Below are 26105 nucleotides of genomic sequence, written 5' to 3'. Positions count from 1 at the left end.
CAAAACGCTGCCAATGAATGAATGTTAAAAATTCTTAATTTTGGCTGGGCACAGTGGCTCACGCCTGTAATCCCAGCACTTTGGGAGGCTGCGGTGGGCAGATCACAAGGTCAAGAGATCGAGACCATCTTGGCCAACATGGTAAAAACCCGTCTCTACTAAAAATACAAAAATTAGCTGGGTGAGGTGGTGCATGGCTGTAGTCCTAGCTACTTGGGAGGCTGAGGCAGGGGAATCACTTGAACCCGGGAGGTGAAGGTTGTAGTTAGCCGAGATTACACCACTGCACTCCAGCCTGGGTGACAGAGCAAGACTCTGTCTCAAAAAAAAAAAAAAAAAAATTCTTAATTTTGTGCATGGCACAATATAATTTACAACTTTGTGTGTTTTCATTGCTAGTACTTTTATTTCTGTATATGTTGTTGTTAAATGAACTCTATTATTAATTCACTTATTGGGTGTATTTTTCTGGGTTCTTTGACTATTTCCACATATCGCTGTTTTTGGTAATCTTTTAAAGTATATTTAACAATACATTTATGAATTATATAATCTATAATTCACTTTTTTCAATTTATCAAATCCAATGGAGACTATAGCAGTGAAAAGTCTATGAACCAGAAGGCACCATCTTTGAACAAGACAGTGGGTCCTCAGCAGACACCCTATGTGCTGGTGCCTTGATCTTGGACTTCCCAGCCTCCAGAACTATGAGAAAGGAGTTTCTATTGTTTATAAGCCACTCAATGTATGGTATTCTGTTATAACAGCCTAAATGGAATAAGACAACTGCCCCCGTTAGGGCCAACAGTAATGTGTTTTTTATTTTTTATTTTGAGATGGAGTATCGCTTTGTTACCCAGGCTGGAGTGCAGTGGCACAATCTCAGTTCACTGCAACCTCCCCATCCTGGGTTCAAGCGATTTACTTGCCTCAGCCTCCTGAGTAGCTGGGATTACAGGTATCCTACCATGCTTGGCTAATTTTTGTATTTTTAGTAGAGATGGGGTTTCACCATGTTGGCCAGGCTGATCTCGAACTCCTAACCTCAGGTAATTCGACCTCCTCAGCCTCCCAAAGTGCTGGGATTACAGGCGTGAGCCATGGCACCCAGCCAGTAACATCTTTCATTCAGTGTTACCTGTCACTTTAGGAGAATCTAGTCTAATTAAGGAGGACAGAAAAAAATGTAGGAAAGCATAAGAATATAACAGAACTTCTCAAAGGTTGAGAGATGCCTGGGGCACTTCACAGACATAGAGTTTCAAAATGTACCTATTACATCTTCCACTATATAGTTAAATTTTCAGTATTATTTTTAGGGTTTCAAAAATTGTGGACCATTTTGAATTCTTGCTTTTACTGACTCTTCTAAGACATACCAACACCCAGTGCCACATAACTGTGCTATTCATAAGATAATTATAGGGTACCATCAGCTTCCCAGGGCTGCCATAACAAAACACCACACACCAGTAACTTACAATAACAGAAATTTATTCTTTCACAGTTCAGGAGGGTAGAAGCCTGAAATTGAGGTGTGGGCAGGGCCGTGGCCCTCTGGCGTCTCGAGGGGAGACTCCGTCCTGTGCCTTTCTCTTAGCCTCTGGCATTGCGGGCAACCCTTGGTTCTCCTTGGCTTGTAGACATATCACTCCAGTCACGTGGCAGTCTTTTCCCTGAGTGTCTCCCTGTCGCCTGTGAATGTGAGGCGTCTCTGTCTCTGTGTATCTCCGTCTCTGTCTTTCCTTAGAAGGACTCCAGTCACCAGATTAGGGCCCACCCTGATGACCTCATCTTAACTCCATTACCTCTGTAAAGACCCTATTTCCAAAACAGGCCACATTCATGGGTACAGGGGAGAAGAACTTCAACACATCTTTGAGAGACACAATTCAACCCACAGCACAGGTTTTAGAAATATGTGTATACTGGCCAGGCACATGGTGGCTCACGCCTGTAATCCCAGCACTTTGGGAGGCCGAGGCGGGTGGATCACTTGAGGTCAGGAGTTCGAGACCATCCTGGCCAACATGGCGAAACCCCGTCTGTACTAAAATATAAAAATTAGCTGGGTGTGATGGTGCGCGCCTGTAATCCCAGCTACTCGCGAGGCTGAGTCAGGAGAATTGCTTGAGAATGGGAAGCAGAGGTTGCAGTGACCCAAGGTTGCACCACTGCACTCCAGCCTGGGCAACAGAGCGAGACCCCACCTCAAAAAAATAAAAATAAATAAATAAACACTTGTATATTGGTCGGGCACAGTGGATCACACTTGTAATCACAGCAGTTTGGGAGGCCTAGGTGGGCAGACCACCTGAGGTCAGGAGTTTGAGACCAGCCTGGCCAACATGGTGAAACTCCATCTCTACTAAAAATACAAAAATTAGCCAGATGTTGTGGCATGTTCCTGTAGTCCCAGCTACTCAGGAGGCTGAGGCAAGAGAATCGTTTGAACCCAGGAGGAGGAGGTTGCAGTGAGCCGAGATTGTGCCACTGCACTCTGGCCTGGGTGATAGAGGGAGACTCCACCTCAAAAAACAAAACAAAATGAAATACATATATGTGTATTTACATACACATGTAAATATATTATATTTGCTTATATATAAATTCAGAATATACTTTGGTAGAATAGTTCAGAACCAGGGCACGAGTTGAAGGCTAGCCGGGTGGCCGCTTTCCCCTGTGGGTCCCCACAGTGTGTTTCAGGAGCCTGGTACATGACCTCACCTGGGTGGAGGTGGGGCAGCCGCAGCACTGCTGGCTCATCTGATATGACTCTCTGCTGTACACAAGAGTCACTGCATTGCTGAAGCCCAAGTTATTCAGACCTTCCACTACCAATAGACCTTCAGGCTTTTCTAGCTCGCTTTCCCACGAAAACAATGCAGCAGTTAATAGCCTTAAACATATGTGCTTGCACACTGGGGCTTTTATTTTATGGATCTTTAGATTCCTAAAAGGGAATTGCTAGGCCAAAGAGGTGTGTATTTTTTTTTTTTTTTTGTAAGATGTAGTCTAGCTCTGTCACCCAGGCTAGAGTGCAGTGGTGCAATCTTGGCTCACTGCAACCTCTGCCTCCTGGGTTCAAGCAATTCTCCTGCCTCAGCCTCCCAAGTAGCTGGGATTACAGGCACCCACCACCATGCCTGGCTAATCTTTTTGTATTTTTAATAGAGACAGGGTTTTGCCATGTTGGCCAGGCTGGTCTTGAACTCCTGACCTCAAGTGATCCTCTTGCCTTGGCCTCCCAAAGTGCTGGGATTACAGGCGTGAGCCACAGTGCCTGGCCTTTTTTTCTTTTTTTTTAATAGAGATCGGGTCTCACTATGTTGCCCAGGTGTCCCTGAAACTACTGGGACCAGGGGACCCTCCCACCTCAGACTCCTGAGTAGCTGGAATTACAGGCATGAGTCACCATGCCCAACTGAAAGTGTGTGTTTTCTATTTCTGTTTTCACTAGAAGTTGGGAAAATGGTGTCACACCGTGGTTTCAATTTTTAAATTCTATTTAAAATAAATAGAAAATATTTGATTGGTTAATGTGGAAAGTCCCTGGGTGTGGTGGCTCACGCGTGTAATCCCAGTACTTTGGGAGGCCAAGGTGGGAGGATCACTTGAGCCCAGGAGTTCGAGACCAGCCTCTATAAATAAGTAAGTAAATAAATAAACAAGTTAAACAAAAGTCAAGATGTGTGAAGAAGTTCATGCTGTTTCCTTCTCATTCACATAAACTGATACATGAAATAATTCTCTGAAAACTGTGGTAGCCAATAATGGCCACAAGGAGGTCCCTGCCCTGGTCGCTGGAAAGTGTCAATGTCCCCTTCCATGGCGAGAGAGAATTTGTATTTGCATGAAAGGTACAGATTTTCAGATGGGGAGATGATCCTGGATTGTGCAACTCTACTCTGTCTAATCAGTTGACTCCTCAAAAGTGGAGCCTATTTCTGATGGTGGTCAGAGAAAAAGATGCATGGAGAAGGGTCAGAGCGGTGCCACGTTGCTGGCACTGAAGATGGAGGATGGGTCAGGAGCTAGGACATGTGGGTACCTCTGGAGGCCAGGAAAGGCGAGGAAATGGATTCTTCTTGGGAGCTGGCAGAAAGCAGCCCCCGTCACTCCACGGATGCCTGCACCTGATGTCTGATCCCCACAACTGCAAGATGGCAAATCTGTGTTGCTTTAGGCCACTAACTTTACAGCAATTTCTGACAGCAGGCATATGAACCTGATACAGCAAGTGACATCGTATTTTGAAAGCTATTTCCAGATAACATATTCGGCCTCATCTTTAAAAAGGATAGCTTATTTCTTTTTTTGAGATGGAGTCTTACTTTGTTGCCCAGGCTGGAGTGCAATGGTGCAATCTCTGCTCACTGCAACCTCTGCCACTTGGGTTCAAGCAATTCTCCTGCCTCAGCCTCCCGAGTAGCTGGGATTACAGGCACCTGCCACCGCACCCGGCTAATTTTTGTATTTTTAGTAGAGACGGGGTTTCACCATCTTGGCCAGGCTGGTCTTGAACTCCTGACCTCGTGATCCACCCGACTTGGCCTCCCAAAGTGCTGGGATTACAGGTGTGAGCCACTGCGCCCAGCCTAGGATAGCTTATTTCTAAACTTAAACTTTGCATAATTGTTAGAAATAAATTTTTGGTGCTGCAAAAGAAATAGCACTCGAGCATAAATTTTCTCAGCAAGGCAATTTACTACTATAGAAGGGTGTGTCTCACGGATGGAGCAATGGTGAAAGCACACCTGGACAAGGGAGGGGAAGGAGTTCTTATCCCTGACACAGGTAGCCCCTACTGCTGTGTGGTTCTCCTGTTGGCTAGGGTTGGACTGCACAGTCTAAGCTAATTCTGATTGGCTATTTTAAAGACAGCAGGGGTACGAGTCGGAGTGGCAGGGGAGTAGTTTGGTGAGAAGGATGGTTACAGAACAGGTGACTCAGGATGACTAAGAACAGAGCAGGTCACCAAGGATGACTAAGGTCAGAGCAGGGGACAAGGGTGACTAAGGTCAGAGCAGGTGATAGAGGCTAGGAGGGGGTTGTTTATTGAAACTAGGGGCAAGCAGATGAAGAGAACGAGGAAGTTAAACTTTAAAATGAAGAACAAAGAACGAGGGAGCTGAACATACGGATACATTGGTTCTTTGGAGAGGATCTCAGAACTCATTGTACTAAACAATGTACAGGCTAAAACCTTTAAAGAGGAATTTATTATATTCTACAATAATGATAAGCAAGGCGATTGGATTTTCAGATATCATTAAAGCTTCATACCCACTTAAATTTACATTCTGTATCCAGGATGAGGAGAAGACACAATGAATTCTAAGCCAGCCTTGAACTTACAAGCAGAAGAAACACTGCTATGGTTGACTGATATTGTCAATTCTTTAGGACTGTAAATGGGGGAATGGGGATGAATTTTAAATTTTCCCTATTATTTCATAAGTCCAGAAAAATGCAATACTTTGAAATCACAGAATTTTATTTATTTATTTTTAACTAAAAACATTTTTGTAGACACAGGGGTTTCTCCATGTTGCCCAGGCTGGTCTTGAACTCCTGTCCTCAAGAGATCCTTCCAATTCAGACTCCAAAGTGCTGGGATTGCAGGCACGAGCCGCTACTCTCAGCCAGGATTTTAAAATAGGAACCTTGCTGGGTTTGTATCCAAATTGCTGCTGAACAGAAGCCTCCTCCTAGGGGTGACAGGAGATTGAATGGGTTAGAATGCTGTATAGAGAAACTGCCTTTGCAGAATTATAAACAACAAGAGAAACCTAACATGACGGACTCCATCTTGCTTCTAACCTCACAGGCTAAATATTTTTTATTTCTTATTCTAGCACAGAGGCCATGATAACTATGAAAGGGATTTAGTTTATGAAACTTGGAGGCAAGGGAAACTGACACCCTCTTGTCCGGAGATTGAAGCCTCATTCATGAGGCAAAGTTAAAAATTATGGTAGTGGCTTGGACTTTGCTAAAGAATAGGCACAGTTGGCTGGGTGTGGTGGCTCATGCCTGTAATCCCAGCACTTTGGGAGGCCGAGGCGGGTAGATCACGAGGTCAGGAGCTCGAGACCATCCTGGCTAACACGGTGAAACCCCGTCTCTACTAAAAATACAAAACATTAGCTGGGTGTGGTGGCAGTCGCCTGTAGTCCCAGCTACTTGGGAGGCTGAGGCAGGAGAATGGTGTGAACCTGGGAGGCGGAGCTTGCAGTGAGCTGAGATCACACCACTGCACTCCAGACTGGGAGAGAGAGCAAGACTTTGTCTCAAAAAAAAAAAAAAAAAAAGAATAGGCAGAGTTAAAGGATGACCTCCGACTGCTTGACGTCTTTTCCTAGAAGTTGCTGACTGCCCTGGTCACATAACTGGGGGTGGGGTGTCACAAAATTTGTAACTTCCCCAACTGCTCCTATAGATAACAGCACTATTGTGAATCCTAAAGAACTGGTCTTTGAGGCCGGATGCGGTGGCTCATGCCTGTAATTCCAGCACTTTGGGAGGCTGAGGCAGAAGGATCTCTTGAGCTCAGGAGTTTGAGACCAGCCTGGGCAACAGAGTGAGATCCCCATCTCTATAAACAACAAAATTAGCCAGGTGTAGTGGCATGCGCCTGTAGTCCCAGCTACTTGGGAGGCTGATGGGGGAGGACCACTTGAGCCCAGGAGGTAGAGACTGCAGTGAGCCATGATTGCACCACTCCACTCCAGCCTGGGTAACAGAGTGAGAACATATCTTTAAAAAAAAAGAAAAGAAAAGAAAAAGAAAAAAGACAGCCAGGTGCAGTGGCTCACGCCTGTAATCCCAGCACTTTGGGAGGCTGAGGTGGGCGGATCACCTGAGGTCAGGAGTTTGAGACTAGCCTGGCCAACACGGTGAAACCCCATCTCTACTAAAAATACAAAAAATTAGCTGGGCGTGATGGTGGGTGCCTATAATTCCAGCTACTTGGGAGGCTGAGACAGGAGAATTGTTTGAACCCAGGAGGCAGAGGTTGCAGTGAGCCGAGATCATGCCACTGCACTCCAGCCTGGGCCACAGACCAAGACTCTGTCTCAAAAAAAAAAAAAAAAAAAAAAGAGAATTGGTCTTCGAGATCGTTTTCAGATTTTGCATTTTGGTAGACCAAGAGATGCCACCTAGTCCTGAGAATCCCCTTCCCCTCCTGGGAACGGACTCACCTGTGCAAACACACTCCTGGGATTTCATACCCAGCCAGTCAGTTGTTCCAGTTCCCCAGACCCCTGCCTGTCAAAGTATCTTTTAAAAATCTGAGCCTCCAAGTCGCAGGGAGAGGAGCTTGAGAAGTTTCTCCCAGTTCCCCTTGTGTGGCTGGCCCTCTGATGATTAACTCGTTCTTTGCTGTGGCACCTGCTGTTCTCATTGGCTCCTCCAGGACAGCAGGCAAGAAGAATCCGCAGCCTGTGATACCCACACAGGGTGAGCGCTTATTAAATTAAGCCACGAATGTGATCGGAACCAAAGTATTCACTCTGCAAATGAAGGCTGTGAAGTTCACAAACTTGTAATTTGCCATAACTCACCCACCACATTTACTCACCCATTTACTTTTGAATGGATAAACGTACTAAGCAAATTTTGCAGTGTAACCTTTTTCTTTATTCATTCACTCAGCAAATATTAAAAACCTCATGTGTGTCGGGTATGGTGGCTCACACCTGTAATCTCAGCACTTTGGGAGGCTGTGTGTGGCTCACCTGAAGTCAGGAGTTCAAGACCAGCCTGGGCAACATGGCGGAACCGTGTCTCTACTAAAAATACAAAAATCAGCCTGTGTGGTGGCGGGCGCCTGTAATCCTAGCTACTCAGGAGGCTGAAGCAGGAGAAACACTTGAACTTGGGAGGCAGAGGTTGCAGTGAGCCAAGATCGTGCACCACCGCACTCCAGTCTGGGTGACAGAGTGATACTTTGTCAAAAACAAACAAACAAAAAACAAACAAACAAAAAACCAGAAAACAAAAAACAGACAAACAAAAAACCTTAAGTGTGCCAGGCACCATTCTAGGTATGGAAGATAATTTGTGAACAAAGCAGACAAAAATCCCTGCCCGTAGGTTTTTGAGGAGGAAGGCAGGTAAGAAACAGCAGACGTCCATGTGTTGAGCAGAGCCTGAGGAGGCTGCAGGTGCAGCGGGAAAAGCGCACAGGGGAGGGGATGGTGAGGGTCTCCCAGGTGGGCAATAACGTGCCTTCGGTCTTCCTCTGGGTTCCCAAAACAGGGCTTCTGAAATCCTTGGAATTTCCAAGTGATGGGGCAATAGCGGCTTTTGTTATTCAGAACAGGCCCTTTCACCCGTTCTAGTGTTTATGCTAATGAGGTGACTCCTGGAGGGTCCCAGGTTGCCCCTAGATGGGGACTGGTTGCCAGGGGAACCAACCTTGGGATTAGAGGGTTGGGACTTTCAGCTCCACCCTCGATCTCTGGTGGTTGCAGATTGCATTAATCACCACTGGCCAATGACAGCAATCATGTCTCCCGAATGGGCTCTCCATAAAACCCTGAATGACGGGGCTCTGCGAGCTTCTGGGTTGGTGAACGCCAGGAGGCAGTGAGAGGAGCAGCTGGTAGGGAGAAGGCCTGGACAATGCATTGTTGCCTGGGCAACACAGTGAGACCCCATCTCTACAGAAAAACAAAATTAGCTAGGGCTGGTGGCATGAGCCTGTAGTCCCAGCTACCTGGGAGGCTGAGGTGGGAGGATCGCTTGAGCCCAGGAGGTTGAGGCTGCAGTGAACCACGATTGCACCACTGCACTCCAGCCTGGGTGACAGAATGAGACCTTGTCACACACACACACACACACACACACACACACACACACACAAGGATTCATCTTCAAGATCATTTTCAGATTTAGCATTTCAGTAGGCCAAGAGGTGCTGCCTAGTCTGGTCCTGAGACCCCCTGCACGCCCCTCCCATCCTTACCTGGCCCTGTGCACCTCTTCTTTGTGGCTGTTCCTGAGTTGAAGCCTTTGTAATAAAGTAGTAATAGTAAGTAAAGCACTTCCCTGTGTTCTGTGACGCATTCTAGCAAATTATCAAACTTGAGGAGGGAGGGGCTGTAGGAGCCTTCTATTAATGGCCAGTCAGTCAGACGCACTGGAGGCCCCGATCTGTGATTGGCATCTGAAGTGCGGGGCCGTCTTGTGGGCTGAGTCCCTGACCTGTGGGGTCTGGACCAATTCCAGGTAGTTCAGGGCAGAATGGAATGGAACCGTTGGACACTCTGCTGGGGTCTGGAGAGCTGGAGACTGGGTTGCTGGGGTAGAAAAGCCTGCGAGTCTCTTGTCTGAAGTGCTGTGCATAGAGCAGTTCAAAGGGGGTGGCAATTTTTAACCGGATGGGTCTGAAGAAGCCTCACAGAAACGTCATGGAACCAAAACCCCGAAGAAGGCACGGGACAGAGCTGGTCCCTGTGGGGACAGAGCAATTCCTGCAGAGGATGCCAGGGTAGCAGGGATGAGGCCTGAGAGGCGCTGGCTGAGCTCGGAGTGCGCAGGCCCCGCTGCTGCTGTCAGGGTTTTGTTGTTTTTTGTTTTTTTTGTTTTGTTTTTTTTTTGAGACGGAGTCTCGCTATGTCGCCCAGGCTGGAGTGCAGGGGCGCGATCTCGGCTCACTGCAAGCTCCGCCTCCCGGGTTCACGCCATTCTCCTGCCTCGGCCTCCCGAGTAGCTGGGACTACAGGCGGCCGCCACCACGCCCGGCTAATTTTTTGTATTTTTGCTAGAGACGGGGTTTCACCGTGTTAGCCAGGATGGTCTCGATCTCCTGACCTCGTGATCCACCCGCCTCGGCCTCCCAAAGTGCTGGGATTACAGGTGTGAGCCACCGCGCCCGGCCGCTGTCAGGGTTTTGCTTGGAGGTTGGCGCGGAGGAGCCACCTAACCCTCTGCGGGCTCCCTGAGCCCTCTGCTCCGCCCTTGCCCTTCTCCGTTCTCCCTGCGTGGAAAGCATGGCTAGTCTCCTTCCCCCATTCCCATCTGTCTTGGGTCCAGTTCCTGGGAAACAGGAAGTTATTGGGAGGGTTGACACTCAGGGAGGAGAGAAGAAAGTGGGATTGGGAAGTGGGTTTGACCACCAAGGCCTCACTGAGGTGCTCCTGCCCTGAGCTCTGACATCCGCGCTGCCGCTGGAGTTCTCCCACTTCACAGCAGTGGGCATCGCGGCATGCAGCCACCCCCAGGAAGCAGTGCTTAGCCAGGGACTCAGGTGAACGCCGTGGCTCCGGCAACACGCGGAGCAGTGAGCAGGGAGTCCCTGAGGCCCCAGAAGGATCTGGGAGGCCCACAGTGGCATCTCCATGGCATCATCTCAGTGATGCTTTTCCCAGTCGACCTGCCTGAAACTGCACCTGCCCCGACACCCTCTGTCCCCTTTTCCTGCGTCATTTTTCTCTGGAGCACTTCACACCCAGAACTTATTATATGTTTTGTTTTTTTGTTTGTTTGTTTTGTTTTGTTTTGTTTTGTTTTTTTGGGAGATGGGTCCTTGCTCTGTTGTCCAGGCTGGAGTGCAGTGATGTGATCAGATCTCAGTACAGCCTCCTGGACTCCTGGGCTTAAGCAATACTCCTGCCTCAGCCTCCTGAGTAGCTGGGACTACAGGCACATGCCACCGCACCTGGCTAATTTAAAAAGTTTTTTTTGTTTTTTTTTTTTTTTTTGGACAGAGTCTTGCTCTGTCGCCCAGGCTGGAGTGCAGTGGCGCGATCTTGGCTCACTGAAAGCTCCGCCTCCCGGGTTCACGCCATTCTCCTGCCTCAGCCTCCCAAGTAGCTGGGACTGCAGGTGCCCGCCACCACGCCAGGCTAATTTTTTGTATTTTTGGTAGAGACGGGGTTTCACCGTGTTAGCCAGGATGGTCTCGATCTCCTGACCTCGTGATCCGCCGGCCTCGGCCTCCCAAAGTGCTGGGATTACGGGCGTGAGCCACCGCGCCCAGCCTAAAAAGATTTTTTGTAGATCCCAGCTATGTTGCTCAGGCTGGCCTGGAACACCTGGCCTCAAGTGATCCTCCCACCTTGGCCTCCCAAAACACAGCAGTTACAGGTGTAGCCACAGTGCCTGGCCTTTCTCTTTTATCTTGTTTGTTTCTTACACACACACACACACACATGCGTGCACACACATATGCACACACACAAATGCACACACATGCTCACACACACGCACATGAATACACGCACACTTCCACCCTTGAATAGAAGCACACACACACGTGCACACACACGTGTGCACACGCAAATGCACACACATTCTCACACACACGCACATGAATACACACACACTTCCACCCTTGAATAGAAGCTCTGTGAAGGCACGGATTTTATATTCTATATGCTATACAATTCTATATTCCTAGAGCATAGAACGGTATATGGCACATACTGATGTGAACCCAAAAGTCTCTGAGACACAGATCTCAATCAGTTTAGAAAGTTTATTTTGCTGAGCTTAAGAATGCACCCATGACAGCCTCAGGAGGTCCTGATGACTTATGCCCAAGGTGGTTGTGGCACAGCTTGCTTTTATACATTTTTGGGAGACATAAGGCATCAATCAATACATGTAAGAGTTACGTCGCTTCGATCTGGAAGGGTGGGACAACTTGAAGTGGTGGAGGGGGAGGCTTCTAGGTCCTATGTAGATTTAAGACTTTTTTGATTGGCAATTGGTTGAAAGAGTTACTGTCCATAGAAAGAAATGTCTGTGTTACAATAAGCGGTTGTGGAGACCAAAGTTTATTATGCAGATGAAGCCTCCAAGTAGCAGACTTCAGAGAGAATAGATTGTAAATGTTTCAACAGACCTAAGGTCTGTGTTGATGTTAATGCTGTTCCGCTTTTCCTGAATTCCAAAGGGAGGAGGGCATCATGAGGCATGTCCAACCCCACTTCCCATCATGGCCTGAACTGGTTTTTCAGGTTACTTTGGAATGCCCTTGGCTGAGAAGAGGGGTCCATTCAGATGGTTGGGGGGCTTAGAATTTTATTTTTGGTTTACAGTGGGTACTAAATACACATTTCTACATAAATGAACAAGATTCTCTTTAATTATTTGCTCCAGTTATCTACTGCATAATCGACTACCCCAAAACTTAATGGCATAATACAACAATGATTTATAATTTCTCATGATTCTGTGAAGGAAAAATAAATACTCGGACCCCAATTCACTCTGCCAAAAGAAAAACATTAAGCTGAAAGCTGAGTCATGAATGAAACTGTCTTTCCTTTTGTTCTGAAGCAGACAGCTACAGATCAAAGGTTAAACACCTCCTCAGGTTGCTACTCTGCATTCACCTTATCTACATAAAGTGCAGTGGCTCACACCTGTAATCCTAACACCTTGGGAGGCCAAGGTGGGCAGATGCCTTGAGCTCAGGAGTTCGAGACCAGCCCGGGCAACATGGCAAAAACCCCGTCTCTCCTAAAAATACAAAAATTAGCTGGGTGTGGTGGTGGGTGCCTATGATTCCAGCTACTTGGGAGGCTGAGGCAAGAGAATCACTTGAACCTGGAGGGCGGAGGTTGCAGTGAGCTGAGTTCACACCACTGCACTCTAGCCTGGGTGATGGAGTGAGACCCTGCCTAAAATATATATACAAAAATAAAAAATAAAGTGCTGATTTACTGGGCACTAGATGAATACATAATTGATGATTCCCCTACCTGCTCCTTTTCTCTCGCAGCATGTGGATGACCACACCCTCCCTTTTCGCCTGAAGCCTGCTTTTCCCCTTTAAACACTGAAGCCCTCAAAATCATCTTTGGAGAAAGGCAGAGGCCACAGATGATTGCTTCTGTGAGTCTGTGTTTATTTTTTCCAGGCATGTCCTTAACCTACATTGATTGAGACCTGTCTCAGATACTTTTTGGTTTACAATTCTGAGGGTCACGAATATGGGCAGGGCTCAGCTTGTTGGTTCTTCTGCTCCAGGTGGTGTTGGTTGGGGTCCACTCACTTGCTACATTAAGCTGGCAGCTGGGTTGCAGTAGAATGCCCAAAATGGCTTCACTCACCAGTGCTTTTGTTTTTTATTTTAATTTTATTTATTTATTTATTTATTTATTTATTTATTTATTTTTTGAGATGGAGTCTTGCTCTGTCACCCAGGCTGGAGTGCAGTAGCATGATCTCAGCTCACTGCAACCTCTGCCTCACCAGTTCAAGCAATTCTCCTGCCTCAGCCTCCTGAGTAGCTGGAAGTACAGGTACCCACCACCATACCTGGCTGATTTTTTTTTATTTTATTTAGTAGAGATGGGGTTTCACCATGTTGGCCAGGCTGGTCTTGAACTCCTAACCTCAAGTGATTTGCCTGCCTTAGCCTCCCAAAGTGCTGGGATTACAGGCATGAGCCACCATGCCCAGCCTGTTTTTCTTTTTGAGATGGAGTCTCACTCTGTCACCCAGGCTGGAGTGCAGTAGTGCGGTCTCAGCTCACTGCAACCTCTGCCTCCTGCGTTCAAACAATTCTCCTCCCTCAGTCTCCTGAGTAGCTGGGACTACAGGCTCGTTTTTTTGTATTTTTAGTAGAGATGGGGATTTACCGTGTTAGCCAGGACGGTCTCAAGCTCCTGACCTCATGATCCACCCGCCTCAGCCTCCCAAAGTGCTGGGATTATAGGTGTGAGCCTCTGTGCCTGGCCCTGTTTTTTGTTTTTAATAGAGACAGGGCCTCACTCTGTTGCCCAGGGTGGAATGCAGTGTCACAATCACAGCTCACTGCAGCCTTGACCTCTTGGGCTCAAGCGATCCTCCCACTTCAGTCTCCCAAGTACCTGGGCCCACAGGTCTGCACCACCACGCCTTGCTAATTTTTTATTTTTTATAGAGACAGGGTCTTGCTATGTTGCTCAGGCTGGTCTTGAACTCCTGGACTTAAGCGATCCTCCCACCTCTGCCTCCCAAAGTGCTGGGATTACAGGTGTAAGCCACCATGCTGGCCTCCCTTGCTCAGTGTTTATTAACTTTCTCAGATTTCCTGTAGGAAGCAGTAAAGAGTATTTTTAAATCTTTTCTTCATTTTATGAAGCAAATTTGTCATCATCTTTTATAAGGCAACATCATTCCTTATAATGAAGGGCTTATGTTCTTAAGGTTTCAGTGCTTTTAAAACAACAGGCCAGGGGTCACGCATGGTGGCTCATGCCTGTAATCCCAGCACTTTGGGAGGCTGAGGAGGGTGGATCACTTCAGCCCAGGAATTCAGGACCAGCCTAGGCAACATAGGGAGACCCTGTCTGCAGAAAAAATAAACAAAATTAGTGGGTCGTGGTGACACACAACCGTAGTCCCAGCTACCTGGGAGGCTGAGATGGGAGGATTGCTTGAGCCAGGGAGGTAGAGGCTACAGTGAGGTGAGATGGGGCCACTGCATCCAGCCTGGGCCACAGAGTGAGACCCTGCCTCAAAACAAAAACAAAAACAAAAACACGATGCTAAGCCCCCCTGTTCCCCCATCTCCCTTTCTGCCGGCTTCTCTGCCTATTTGCTGGAAACCTTATTCTGTATAGTCGAGGTGTTCAGCCAGGCTTGTACACCGAGGAACACAAACACTACGAATATGAATCTAAGAATCCCATACATCTGCAGGCCATGTTGCCAATGTGCTCTAATCTTTAGAGTGTGGGCTCAAACTTCAGTGTGCTTATGAATCACGGCTATAAAAAAAGAACGAGATCATGTCCTTTGCAGCAACGTGGGTGGAACTGGAGGCCACTGTCCTTAGCAAAGGAACGCAGGAACAGACACCAAATAACCACGTGTTCTCTCTTAGAAGTAGGAGCTAAATGGTGAGAACACATGGACACATAGAGGGAAACAACACACACTGTGGCCTTTTGGAGGGTAGAGGGTAGGAGGAGGGAGAGGATCAGGAAAAATAACTAATGGCTACTAGGCTTAGTACCTTGGTAATGTACTAATCTGTACAACAACCCCCCATGACACAAGTTTACCTATATAACAAACTGGCACGTGCACCCCTGAACTTAAAAGTAAAAAAAAAAAAATTTCATTTCTTTTCTTTTCTTTTTTTCTTTGAAACAGAGTCTTGCTCTGTCCAGGTTGGAGTGCAGTGGTGTGATCCCAGCTCACCACAACCTCCAAGTCCTGGGTTCAAGCTATTCTCCTGTCTCAGACTCCCAAGTCGCTGGGATTACAGGCACCCGCCACCATGCCCGGCTAATTTTTGTATTTTTAGTAGAGACGGGGTTTCATCATGTTGCTCAGGCTGGTCTCGAACTCCTGACCTCAACTGATCAGCTGGCCTCCCAAAGTACTGGCATTACAGGCATGAACCACTGGCCAACAACCATTTCTGATGGGTGAGTCAAGTAGGAGAAATAAAACCAATGGTGCAGAGGAAAACCCTAGACTGTACAGAGAAAAGCTGGGGTATGTTAGACTGAATAGAAGATGTGTATATTGCCCATGAGTCTGCAGCCTGTAAACTCTCACATCTGTTTCCTATTGTGATTTCAGAATGCATTCAGCTCTGTTCTAACTCTATATATGCCCTTCTCATTCCCTGGGGACTAACTGAATATTTGATTTATTCAGTTCATGTCCACCAGAAACATAGCTGTGTGGGGTAGGGAAGGCTACCAAGATCAATAAATCACCTTCCTTGCCCTGTTCATTCATTCACTTGTAACATTTCTTGACAAGGGGTACATAATATATTATCTATCCTCCAGCCTATATTCCCTATTCTTCAGGAGCTAAATACCTAATTTTACTAAATGACTGCTAGTTTTCTGTTGCTGCTGTAACAATGATAAAGATGTAGCAACTCTAGGGCCAGGCACAATGGCTCATGTCTGTAATCTCAGCACTTTGGGAGGCCAGGCAGGCGGGTCACTTGAAGTCAGGAGCTCGAGGTCAGCGTGGCCAACATGGTGAAACCCCATCTTTACTTAAAATACAAAAATTAGCCGGGCATGATGGTGGGCGCCTGTAATCCCAGCTACTCAGGAGGCTGAGGCAGGAGAATCAGAGAATCGCTTGAACCTGGGAGACAGAGGTTGCAGTGAGCAAAGATCATGCCACTGCACTCCAGCCTGGGCAACAAAGCCAGACTCTGTCTCATACAAAATGAAACAAAACAAAAAAAGACGTAGCAACTTTAAATAAGGCACATTTGTTAGCTCCCAATTCAGTAGGTCAGAAGCCTGAGTGGGCTCCACTGGCTCTCTACTCTGGGTTTCACAAGGCTGAAATCAAGGTGCAGCCCCTGGGCTCTTGTTGGGAGGCACAAGGGAGAATTCACTTCCAAGCCCACTCCTATTGCTGGCAGAATGCAGTTCTTCACAGCTCAAGAACTGAGGTTCCCATTTCTTTGCTGGCTGTGTACTGAGGTCCATCCATAGCTCCTAGAGGTCTCTCTTGGGCCCTTGCATGGGGCCCCTACATTTCAGAGCTAGCAAGAGTACATCAAATCCTTACACTTGGGGTCTGACTTCCCCCTCTGCTACATCTTTTATTCCAGCTGGGGAAAGTGCTCTGCTTTTGAGGGCTTGTGTGATTAGACTGAGCTAACTCCCAATACTCCAGGAAAGTCTATGACCTGTGATTATAGACTTTGCCATCTAAGGTGACATAGTACAAATTCTGAGGATTAGGGTGTACTTCTGTTGGGGTCCATTCTTCAGCCTGTTACAGGTAGACAGGCATGAGTGGGGCAGGAGAGGGCTCTCCCCTGACCCACCAGGAATGTCAGGAGACCATCAGGTGCTGGTTCAACAATGATCACACTGCCTCTCTCAAAATGATAATTCAGCAGCTGGCGCCAGCGAGAGACAATCTCCTGATGGTCTGCAGCGGTTATATTAGAGTGTTAATTGAAGGCAAGTGCCAGGAGAAGCAGAAAGGGATTCTAATAAAATCTCAGGTATTGGGCAAGGGAGTCTGAGCATTTGCATTAAGAGACAAAATGGCGGAGTATGACCTCCTGTGGGGCTCTCTGCTAGGAAAGGGAAGAAAGTCTCAGATGGGCATGCGTACAGCTTGCTAAACATACTGCACATGCTCACTTCCCCAGCATGAAGAAAGCACTACACATGCGGGCAGGCCACCCTAAGGGAAGAATCATGGGAAAGTGGTGCAAGATGCCAGAGTTGGGCCAGCATAGAAAGTCCTAGAATCACAGTTAAACGGAGCACTTGACCCGTTATACATACATATATAGTATATACATATTATACATACAGAATATACATACTATATGTATATGCTGGGCATGGTGGCATGTGCCTGTAAGCTACTCAGGAGGCTGAGGCAGGAGGATTGCTTGAGCCCAGGAGGTCAAGGCTGAAGTGAGCTGTGATTGTGCCACTGCACTCCAGCCTAGGCAACAGAGACCCTGGCTAAAAAAAACATACATATATACACACACACATGCACACACACATGCACACTATACATATATAGTATATACATACTATACACACATATAGTATATACATACTATACACACATATAGTATATACATACTATACACACATATAGTATATACATACTATACACAAATATAGTATATACATATGATAAATAGCATGTATATACTGTATTATAGTATATACATACAATAAATAGCATGTATACACTGTATTATAGTATATACATACGATAAATAGCATGTATACACTGTATTATAGTATATACATACGATAAATAGCATGTACATACTGTATTATAGAATATACAGTATATAGTATATACAGTATATATACATATATAGTATATACTGTATATATACATATACAGTACATACTGTGTGTATATATATACATATACAGTATATACTGTGTATATACATATAAAATATATGCTGTGTATACACATATATGTATATATTGTGTATATACATATATGTATATATTCTGTATATACATATATAGTATATATTGTATATGTACTATATACAGTAGTATATACACAACATATACCATATATACAGTAGTATATACACAATATATACTATATATACGTAGCATATATAAGATATATACGTAGCATATATACGATATATACTATATATACATAGTATATATATGATATATACGATATATACTATATATACATAGTATATATATGATATATACGACATATACTATATATACGTAGTATACATACAATATATACTATATATACGTAGTATACATACAATATATACTATATATACGTAGTATACATACAATATATACTATATATACGTAGTATATATACAATATATACTATATATACATATATACATACATACATATGTGTATATATACTACATGTATATACTATATACATATGTGTGTATATACTATATACTATGTAGCATATACATACTATATAGTATATACTATATATGTGTATATGTAGCACGTACTATATGAGTATATATAGCATGTATATCCTATATGTGTGTGTATACCACTTGTATGTACTATATGGGTGTATATAGCTTATATGTACTATATGTGTGTATATAGCATGTATATACTATATGTGTGCATATAGTATGTATATACTATATATTTACAGTGGATGTGTGTGTATATATATATTATATATATTATATATATAATGTATATATAATATATAATATATATATATAAATTATATATATTATATATATAATGTATATATAATATATATAATATATATATAAATTATATATATATGTAATATATATTATATATATATTTAGACAGGGTCTCATTCTGTTGCCCAGGCTGGAGTGCAGTGGCACAATCACAGCTCACTTCAGCCTTGACCTCCTGGGCTCAAGCAATCCTCCTGCGTCAGCCTCCTGAGTAACCTACAGGCACATGCCACCATGCCCAGCTAATTTTTAAAAATTTTTTGCAGAGACAGTGTTTTGCTATGTTGCCCAGGCTCCAGTCAGATTTTCTCGGGAATGTAACTTAGCCCTTTGTTTCTCTTTTCTTTCTTTCTTTCTTTCTTTCTTTCTTTCTTTCTTTCTTTCTTTCTTTCTTTCTTTCTTTCTTCCTTCCTTCCTTCCTTCCTTCTTCTTTCTTTCTTTCTTCCATATTTCCTTTCTCCTTCCTTCCTTCCTTTCTTTTTCCTTTTTTCTCCTTCCTTCCTTTTTTCTTTCTTCCTTCTTTTTTCCTTCTTCCTCTCTTTTTTCCTTCTTCCTCTTCCTCTGCCTCTTTCGCGTTTTCTTCTTTAAGTTTTTTAAACATTTATTTATTTATTTATTTATTTTTTAGAAACAGGGTCTTGCTCTGTGGACCCGGCTGGAGAGCAGTTGCATGATCACAGCTTACTGCAGCCTCCAACTCCTGGGCTCAAGCAATCCTCCCACCTCAGCCTCCATGTAGATTTCATTCAATTTTAGTGTTTGGCTGTTATGATGGTGTTTTGAACGCACTGTTGTGATCTGGTTGATGTTTTGACCCCAAAAACACCTTGACTGCATATGTATGTATGTAATATGAACAAAAATGATAAATTACACATTATTATTTATCAGGGGAAATTCAGCCAGATATTGGGCAAAATTCATCCCCAATATTTCACGTAGGTTATTTTCTATTTCCCCTAAGTGTTGGCCGGTCTGAGAAATAAAGGGACAGAGTACAAAAGAGAGAAATTTTAAAGCTGGGTGTCTGGGGGAGACATCACATGTCGGCAGGTTCCGTGATGCCCCCTGAGCCATAAAACTAGCAAGTTTTTATAAGCGATTTTCAAAAGGGGAGGGAGTGTACAAATAGGGTGTGGGTCACAGAGATCACATGCTTCACAAGGTAATAGAATATCACAAGGTAAATGGAGGCAGGGCGAGATCACAGGACCACAGGACCGGGGAGAAATTAGAATTGCTAATGAAGTTTCGGGCAGGCACTGTCATTGATAACATCTTATCAGGAAACAGGGTTTGAGAGCAGACAACTGGTCTGACCAAAATTTATTAGGCGGGAATTTCCTCGTCCTAATAAGCCTGGGAGGGCTACAGGAGACTGGGGCTTATTTCATCCCTACAGCTGCGATCTGTATATACATATAGCTTGTATGTACTATATGTGTGTATATAGCATGTATACACTATATGTGTGTGTATAGTATGTATATACTATATATTTATAGTGCATGTGTGTATGTGTATATATATATTTTTTTAGACAGGGTCTCACTCTGTTGCCCAGGCTGGAGTGCAGTGGCACAGTCACAGCTCACTTCAGCCTTAACCTCCTGGGCTCAAGCAATCCTCCTGCCTCAGCCTCCTGAGTAGTCTACAGGCACATGCCACCATGCCCAGCCACCCCCAAAGCGGCCATTTCAGAGGCCTACCCTCAGGGATGCTTTCTCTTTCTCAGGGATGTTCCTTGCTGAGAAAAAGAATTCAGCAATATTTCTCCCATTTGCTTTTGAAAGAAGAGAAATACGGCTCTGTTCCGCCTGGCTCACCGGCAGTCAGAGTTTAAGGTTATCTCTCTTGTTCCCTGAACATTGCTGTTATCCTGTTCTTTTTTCTAGGTGCCCAGATTTCATATTGTTCAAACACACATGCTCTACAAACAATTTGTGCAGTTAACAAAATCATCACAGGGTCCTGAGGCGACATACATCCTCCTCAGCTTACGAAGATGATGGGATTAAGAGATTAAAGTAAAGACAGGCCTAGGAAATCACAAGGGTATTGACTGGGGAAGTGATAAGTGTCCATGAAATCTTCACAATTTATGTTCAGAGATTACAGTAAAGACAGGCATAAGAAATTATAAAAGTATTAATTTGGGGAACTAATAAATGTCCATGAAATCTTCATAATTTATGTTCTTCTTCCATGGCTTCAGCCGGTCCCTCCATTCAGGGTCCCTGAATTCCCACAACGATTATTCACAACTTCATTTTTTTTCTCTGGCAGGATAAGGAAAGTTTTGAGGTTGGGCATGGTGGGCTCATGTCTGTGGTCCCTGTGCTTTTGGAGGCTGAGGTGGGAGGATTACTTGAGCCCAGGAGTTCAAGGCGGCAGTGGACTATGACCATGCCACTGCACTCCAGTCTGGGAGACAGAATAAGACTCTGTCTCAAACAAACAAACAAACAAACAAAAAGTTTTGGTTGCCAATTCAACACCATCCAGCTGCTGCCAATATTATCATATGTTTTTGAAAAATCCACTGGGAGAGAGGGAGAAACGAGGGAGGGCCCAGTATTTACCAGAGAGGGAGAATTAAAATGGTGGTGGCAGAGGCAAGAAGGCCGAAAGAAAAGCACTTGCCTGTTGCGGGGTCCAGGAGGCATTCTGGTGGGGAAGTTCAGGATATGGAGAGAAAAAACATATCTTTTTTTTTTTTTTGGAGACGGAGTCTCGCTTTACTGTCCAGGCTGGAGTGCAGTGGTGCGATCTTGGCTCACTGCAAGCTCCACCTCCCGGGTTCAAGCAATTCTCATGCATCAGCCTCCTGAGTAGCTGGGATTACAGGTGCCCGCCACCACACTCACCTGGACAACTGGCTGTCAAGACCTTCCATCGGGTAACAGAACCACATCACACCTAGAACCAAGTCCAAAACGTCCTGTTTTTTAATGTGTAGCCTGTTGCTCTCAAGCAGATTTCTTAGCGCTGCCTTCTGGTCAGACCAAAGCCACCTCCTCCAGGAGGCAGTAAAGACTTTAACCTTGTTTAAAAACAAATCTGGCCTTGCCTTCTCCTCCTGGAAGGCAATCTTTGTTTGCCTGGGAGTCTTCGGCTAGCCAGAGAGTAACAGTGTGATTTATGGTGGGGGCTTAGGGTTACATGGATATCACTTAACCAAGAGGCTGAGATCAAGCATGAAAGCAATCAAACAATCAATCAATCATGCACATGCAATGGAGCCCAGTAAACGTTCTGCACACTGTGGCTCAAGTGAGCTTCCCTGGCTGGCAGTACTTCGTGTGTAAGGCCACACATCAGTGCAGGGCAAGTAATGAGGCCTGACTACACAGGGAGAGGACCACGGGAGGACCTTGAAGCTGCACGCCGTAATCCCCAGACTCCCCCTCTGCCCTTCTTCCTTGGCTGATGTTAATCCGTATCATTTTCCTGCTAAGAAACCATAGTTGTGAGTACAGTAGTTTTTAGTGTATTCTGTGATTCCTTCTAGCAAATTATGGAACTTGAAGGTGGTTTTGGAAACCGCCAGAATTTGCCGTTGGTGTCAGAGGTGATAATGGTCTTGGGGACTGTTCCCCCAACCTGGGTAGTTCACCTAAGCTCCTGCACCTTCATGACGACCTCTCTGCCAGTTCCGTGCCCATGCCCTTACTTTCTTTTCTCATCTATCATTTATTTGTCTGTGTCTGTATTGCCTGTTTCTCCTGCCAGAATGGTATCCCAGGGCTGGGCCTGCGGACGCTCTTCCCGTTACCGCCCCCTGCCGTGTTATGCTCCGTAAGCATCATGTGTGGTACACGATCTCTTCTCCTTCATTCACACCCGAGGCTGCGCGTGGACCCTTAAAGAGAAGGTTCGGCATATGTATTACCCAAAGCTGCACCCAGCACATTCCGGGAGCTTTGCTCTTTTGTCACTATTCGTTGAATGCTCTATATTTTGATAAATAAAACAATGAGTGTGAAAGCATAAAAGCAGATCAAGGGACAAACAGCACGTGTAGCGGAACTGCCAGCCTGGGGCTCGGCCGGACCCCGCCCCTCCCCGCCTAGGCCCCGCCCCCAGGCCCCGCCCCTCCGGGCTCCCGCTGGAAAGCGCTGCCGCCGTGTGGGTGGGTGCGGGGCGCGGCGCGGGCCGGGCATGCGCAGAGCGCGCGGGGCGCGGTTGCCGTGGCAGCGCCGGCTCCAGGGAGGGCTGCTGGCGCCGGGCCGGGACCGCGGGGCCTGAGGCGGAGACCGGAGAGCCCGAGGCCCGGCCGGAGGCAGCTCGGGACAGGCTTGAGCGGCGGGGCGCGCTGCCCGGCCGGCGGGGATGCGGGACCGGCTGCCAGACCTGACGGCGGTGAGCGGCAGCCGCGGGTAGCGGTTCAGGCCCGGCCGGGGCGGCGTCTGGAGGGCGGGCGGGGGCTCGGGGCGTCTTGGGCGGGGCTCCGGGAGGGTCCCCAGGGCGGGGATCTCCGGCGTTCTGGGGCGGGGGCTGCGGGCAGGGTCTCAGGGAGTCCTGAGCGGGGACTGCTGGTGGGGTCCCCAGGGCGGGGGTCCCGGGAGTCCTAGGGTGGGGGCTCCGGGCGGGGTCCCCAGGGCTTCCTGGGCGGAGTCCTCAGGGCGGGTTGGGGCAGGAGGAGGGAGCGGGGAAGGTCCCGGCCTCGACCCCCTCTTCGAGCGTGGCTCCCTGTCCGTCACTCCGCTTGGCGGATTGTATCTGGCGCTTACCCAGCCGGAGCCCACTGGCCTAACTGTGGTCCGCCCCACGGGGTCCCCGCAGCTGGCGTCAGCCCCGGGGAGCAGGCCGGGTCCTCTTGGTCGCTGCTTTATCCCTGGGGCTTCACAAAGGACTGTGCACCAAGCGGGAGGCAACAGATGGGTGTGAAATGTGGGCACCTTAGAGTGCTGGGTGCTTGGGGTGGGGCGAGCGCGAACAGCAGCTTGTGTCTGATCTCCCAGTAGTTTGCTTTGGAAACTGGGACCGTGTGTTGACTCTGAACGCACCTTACGCGCCCAGCAGCCGGGCACACAGCAAGTTACTGTTTACTTTAGCAAGGGAAAAGCAGGTCACTAAAAATTTTGGAAGGATTTCGATGCATTCTACACGTGTAAAGGTGACAGGACTGTGCATGGTGCAGTGACAGCGGAATGATAGTGATGGTCGTGCACTTTCCAAGCTTGTCTAACCCAGGACGGCTTAGGCCAGCAGAAGTAGTTATGACTTTTTCCCTTTACAATACAGGTACTAATTCATGCTACGTGTGTGCACAGATAGAGCCTCTGGTCTCTAAATTGTTGGCAGCCTCAGAACAGGGGTGCTAAGGCCCACAGCCCTACGACACCCACTGCATGTAATGAATTATTCTCTCTCCTCTGCTGCTAGAATGGAGCTGTTATGTACCCCCGAGTGGGAGAATAGAGAAAAGAGCCACTTAAATCATTATCTGTGTTCTGTGGTTCAGATGAGGAGCTCTGGTTGAGAAAGGCAATGATTTCATCCTTAGGATCATGGAAATTATGCTTTATATTCATTCCAAGGAAGTTTCTTCACGGTGATTTTTCCTTTTTTATTAATGGACAAATATTCCCTGTGTTCCGCAGATCAATATCATCTTAAACACAGCAAATTATAGTTGTGTTGTCTTGCCCGATGGATTATCTTTCAGTGCCGTGTAGTAGGAGCTCAGGTATTTATTTAATGAAGAAAAGCTGTGGCTCACTCCTGTAATCCCAGCAGTCTGGGAGATCAGGGTGGGGGCATCACTTGAGCCCAGGTATTGGAGACCAGCTTGGGCAACACAGGGAGACACTGTTTCTCGAAAAAAATTAAAAAATTAGCAGGAGGCCAGTCGCAGTGGCTCATGCCTGTAATCCCAGCACTTTGGGAGGCCGAGTTGGGTGGACCACTTGAGGTCAGGAGTTGGAGACTAGCCTGGCCAACATGGCAAAACCCCGTTTCTACTAAAATAGCCGGATGTCATGGCGCACACCTGTAGTCCCAGCTACTCTGGAGGCTGCGGCAGGAGCATCGCTTGAATCCAGGAGGCGGAGGTTGCAGAAAGCCGAGATTGTGCCACTGTACTCCAGTCTGGGCAACAGAAAGAGACTCTGTTTCAGAAAAACCAACAAAACAAAGCACGCACAAAAAAACTATCCAGGTGTGACTCGCACCTGTAGTCCTTGGTACTCAGGAGGCTAAGCTAGGAGGATTCCTTGAGCCCAGGAGATAGAGGCTGCAGTGAGCCATGATTGTGCCATGCCACTGCACTCCCGCCTGGGTGACAGAGTGAGACATTGTCTCATAAAAAAAAAAAAAAAAAGCTCAATGTCATTGAACGTGAGAGCTGTGACTATTTTGGCAAAATACAGCCAAATTTATATGTTGGGGAATCGTGAGAAAGTACGTTTTCTTGGCTTGAATAGCAAAAAGCAAATAAGGCAATTATTTGTCACTCAGTTTCTATATATCCAAACCCTTCCTGAAACAGTAGAACATGTCAATCAGTTTTGTTCTAGAACGGCAGAGCTAGAAGTCAGCTCATCTACTTCAATACCATCCTGCTTTAGACACAGCAGCTGAGCAGTCAGAGAGTATATCCGTGGAAGTTTCCACTCATGGAGTTTCTCATCTTGGGCAAATAATTTTTAAATCTCTCAAAACTTTTTCTTGTACGTGAAATGGGGACAGTGGTATCTCTCTTGTCCACCTCATAGAGGGAGTTATGAAGCATAAAATTATCTAATGTGTGAAGCTCTGGGAGAAGGTGGGAGGGAGCAAGTGCTATGTAATTATAAGTGTGATTAATGTTTACCAGATTTTTTGTTTTTAGGGAGTTATAAAAAGCAGCCTTCTGGCTGGGCACAGTGGCTTTCACTTGTAGTCCCAGCACTTTGGGAGGCTGAGGTGGGCAGATCATTTGAGCTCAGGAGTTCAAGACCAGCCTGGGCAACATGGCAAAACCCTGTCTTTACAAAAAACATACAAAAACTCAGCCAGGTGTAGTGGTGCATGCCTGTGGTTCCAGCTACTCAGGAGGCTGAGGTGGGAAGATTGCTTGAGTCCAGGAGGCGGAGGTTGCAGTGAGCCAAGATTTTGCCACTGCCCTCCAGCCTGGGCAACAGACAGATTGAGACCCTGTCTCAAAAAAAGAGAAAAGAACAACCTTCTCCCTAGTATAAAATAGTAAGTTAAAACTGAATTTGAAGTTTAATAACTTTTAATATTTAAAAACCCATCTTAAAGTTACCAGATACAAGTTTAATTCCCCTCCCCCGCCCCGCCCCAGGAAATGTGTCCTTTCCCAGTAGTTCTTAGAGTAGTTGAATGTGTACTCACAACCGTGCTTGTAAATGGCTGGTGTTTTTTTCTAGGTAAAGTTGAATATTTTGTTGGTTAAAATGCCTCATCAACAATGTCTGATTAACAAAGTATTTGTGATGCTTCC

General features: G+C 46.3%; 1 protein-coding gene and 1 long non-coding RNA gene across 14 annotated transcripts in view, besides 7 other annotated features; one reads left to right on the top strand and one right to left on the bottom strand.

The window, feature by feature from the left end:
• Window positions 1–5485: 5485 nt before the first annotated feature.
• LOC124903053 (uncharacterized) lies at window positions 5486–9135 on the bottom strand. The gene is made up of 2 exons (XR_007063526.1): window positions 8981–9135; window positions 5486–5717 (listed from the first exon to the last, which is right to left on the bottom strand). It is a non-coding gene; the product is annotated as an uncharacterized LOC124903053 (long non-coding RNA).
• Window positions 6440–7189: an enhancer, noted in NCBI's record as "H3K27ac hESC enhancer chr12:131339443-131340192 (GRCh37/hg19 assembly coordinates)". NCBI's record gives its function as "activates a minimal SCP1, AML or CMV promoter by ChIP-STARR-seq in primed H9 embryonic stem cells {active_cell/tissue: H9 hESC(primed)}" and the evidence as "EXISTENCE:reporter gene assay evidence [ECO:0000049][PMID:30033119]".
• Window positions 7190–7940: an enhancer, noted in NCBI's record as "H3K27ac hESC enhancer chr12:131338692-131339442 (GRCh37/hg19 assembly coordinates)". NCBI's record gives its function as "activates a minimal SCP1, AML or CMV promoter by ChIP-STARR-seq in primed H9 embryonic stem cells {active_cell/tissue: H9 hESC(primed)}" and the evidence as "EXISTENCE:reporter gene assay evidence [ECO:0000049][PMID:30033119]".
• Window positions 7941–8691: an enhancer, noted in NCBI's record as "OCT4-NANOG-H3K27ac-H3K4me1 hESC enhancer chr12:131337941-131338691 (GRCh37/hg19 assembly coordinates)". NCBI's record gives its function as "activates a minimal SCP1, AML or CMV promoter by ChIP-STARR-seq in naive H9 embryonic stem cells {active_cell/tissue: H9 hESC(naive)}" and the evidence as "EXISTENCE:reporter gene assay evidence [ECO:0000049][PMID:30033119]".
• Window positions 9725–10633: an enhancer, noted in NCBI's record as "H3K4me1 hESC enhancer chr12:131335999-131336907 (GRCh37/hg19 assembly coordinates)". NCBI's record gives its function as "activates a minimal SCP1, AML or CMV promoter by ChIP-STARR-seq in naive H9 embryonic stem cells {active_cell/tissue: H9 hESC(naive)}" and the evidence as "EXISTENCE:reporter gene assay evidence [ECO:0000049][PMID:30033119]".
• Window positions 11789–12083: a silencer, noted in NCBI's record as "tiled region #8535; K562 Repressive non-DNase unmatched - State 8:EnhW". NCBI's record gives its function as "represses a minimal TATA promoter and a strong SV40 promoter by Sharpr-MPRA in K562 cells {active_cell/tissue: K562}" and the evidence as "EXISTENCE:reporter gene assay evidence [ECO:0000049][PMID:27701403]".
• Window positions 22634–23143: a silencer, noted in NCBI's record as "silent region_5092". NCBI's record gives its function as "represses an Ori minimal core promoter by ATAC-STARR-seq in GM12878 lymphoblastoid cells {active_cell/tissue: GM12878}" and the evidence as "EXISTENCE:reporter gene assay evidence [ECO:0000049][PMID:35858748]".
• Window positions 22837–26105, top strand: part of STX2 (syntaxin 2) — a 49651-nt gene continuing 46382 nt past the window's right edge. For all 13 annotated transcript variants that reach the window (NR_182217.1, NR_182216.1, NM_001413773.1 and 10 more), the window contains exon 1: window positions 22837–23017. Coding sequence is in view for 8 of the 13 variants with exons in the window: in NM_001351049.2 (NP_001337978.2) it covers window positions 22988–23017 (30 nt within the window). In the remaining 5 variants the exon portion in view is untranslated. The remainder of the gene's footprint in view (window positions 23018–26105) is intronic.
• Window positions 23214–23273: a silencer, noted in NCBI's record as "silent region_5091". NCBI's record gives its function as "represses an Ori minimal core promoter by ATAC-STARR-seq in GM12878 lymphoblastoid cells {active_cell/tissue: GM12878}" and the evidence as "EXISTENCE:reporter gene assay evidence [ECO:0000049][PMID:35858748]".

Source organism: Homo sapiens, chromosome 12 (genome assembly GCF_000001405.40).
Source record: "Homo sapiens chromosome 12, GRCh38.p14 Primary Assembly".
In the NCBI taxonomy this organism is placed as follows: Eukaryota; Metazoa; Chordata; class Mammalia; order Primates; family Hominidae; genus Homo; species Homo sapiens.
This window is presented reverse-complemented; position numbering and strand designations above follow the sequence as displayed.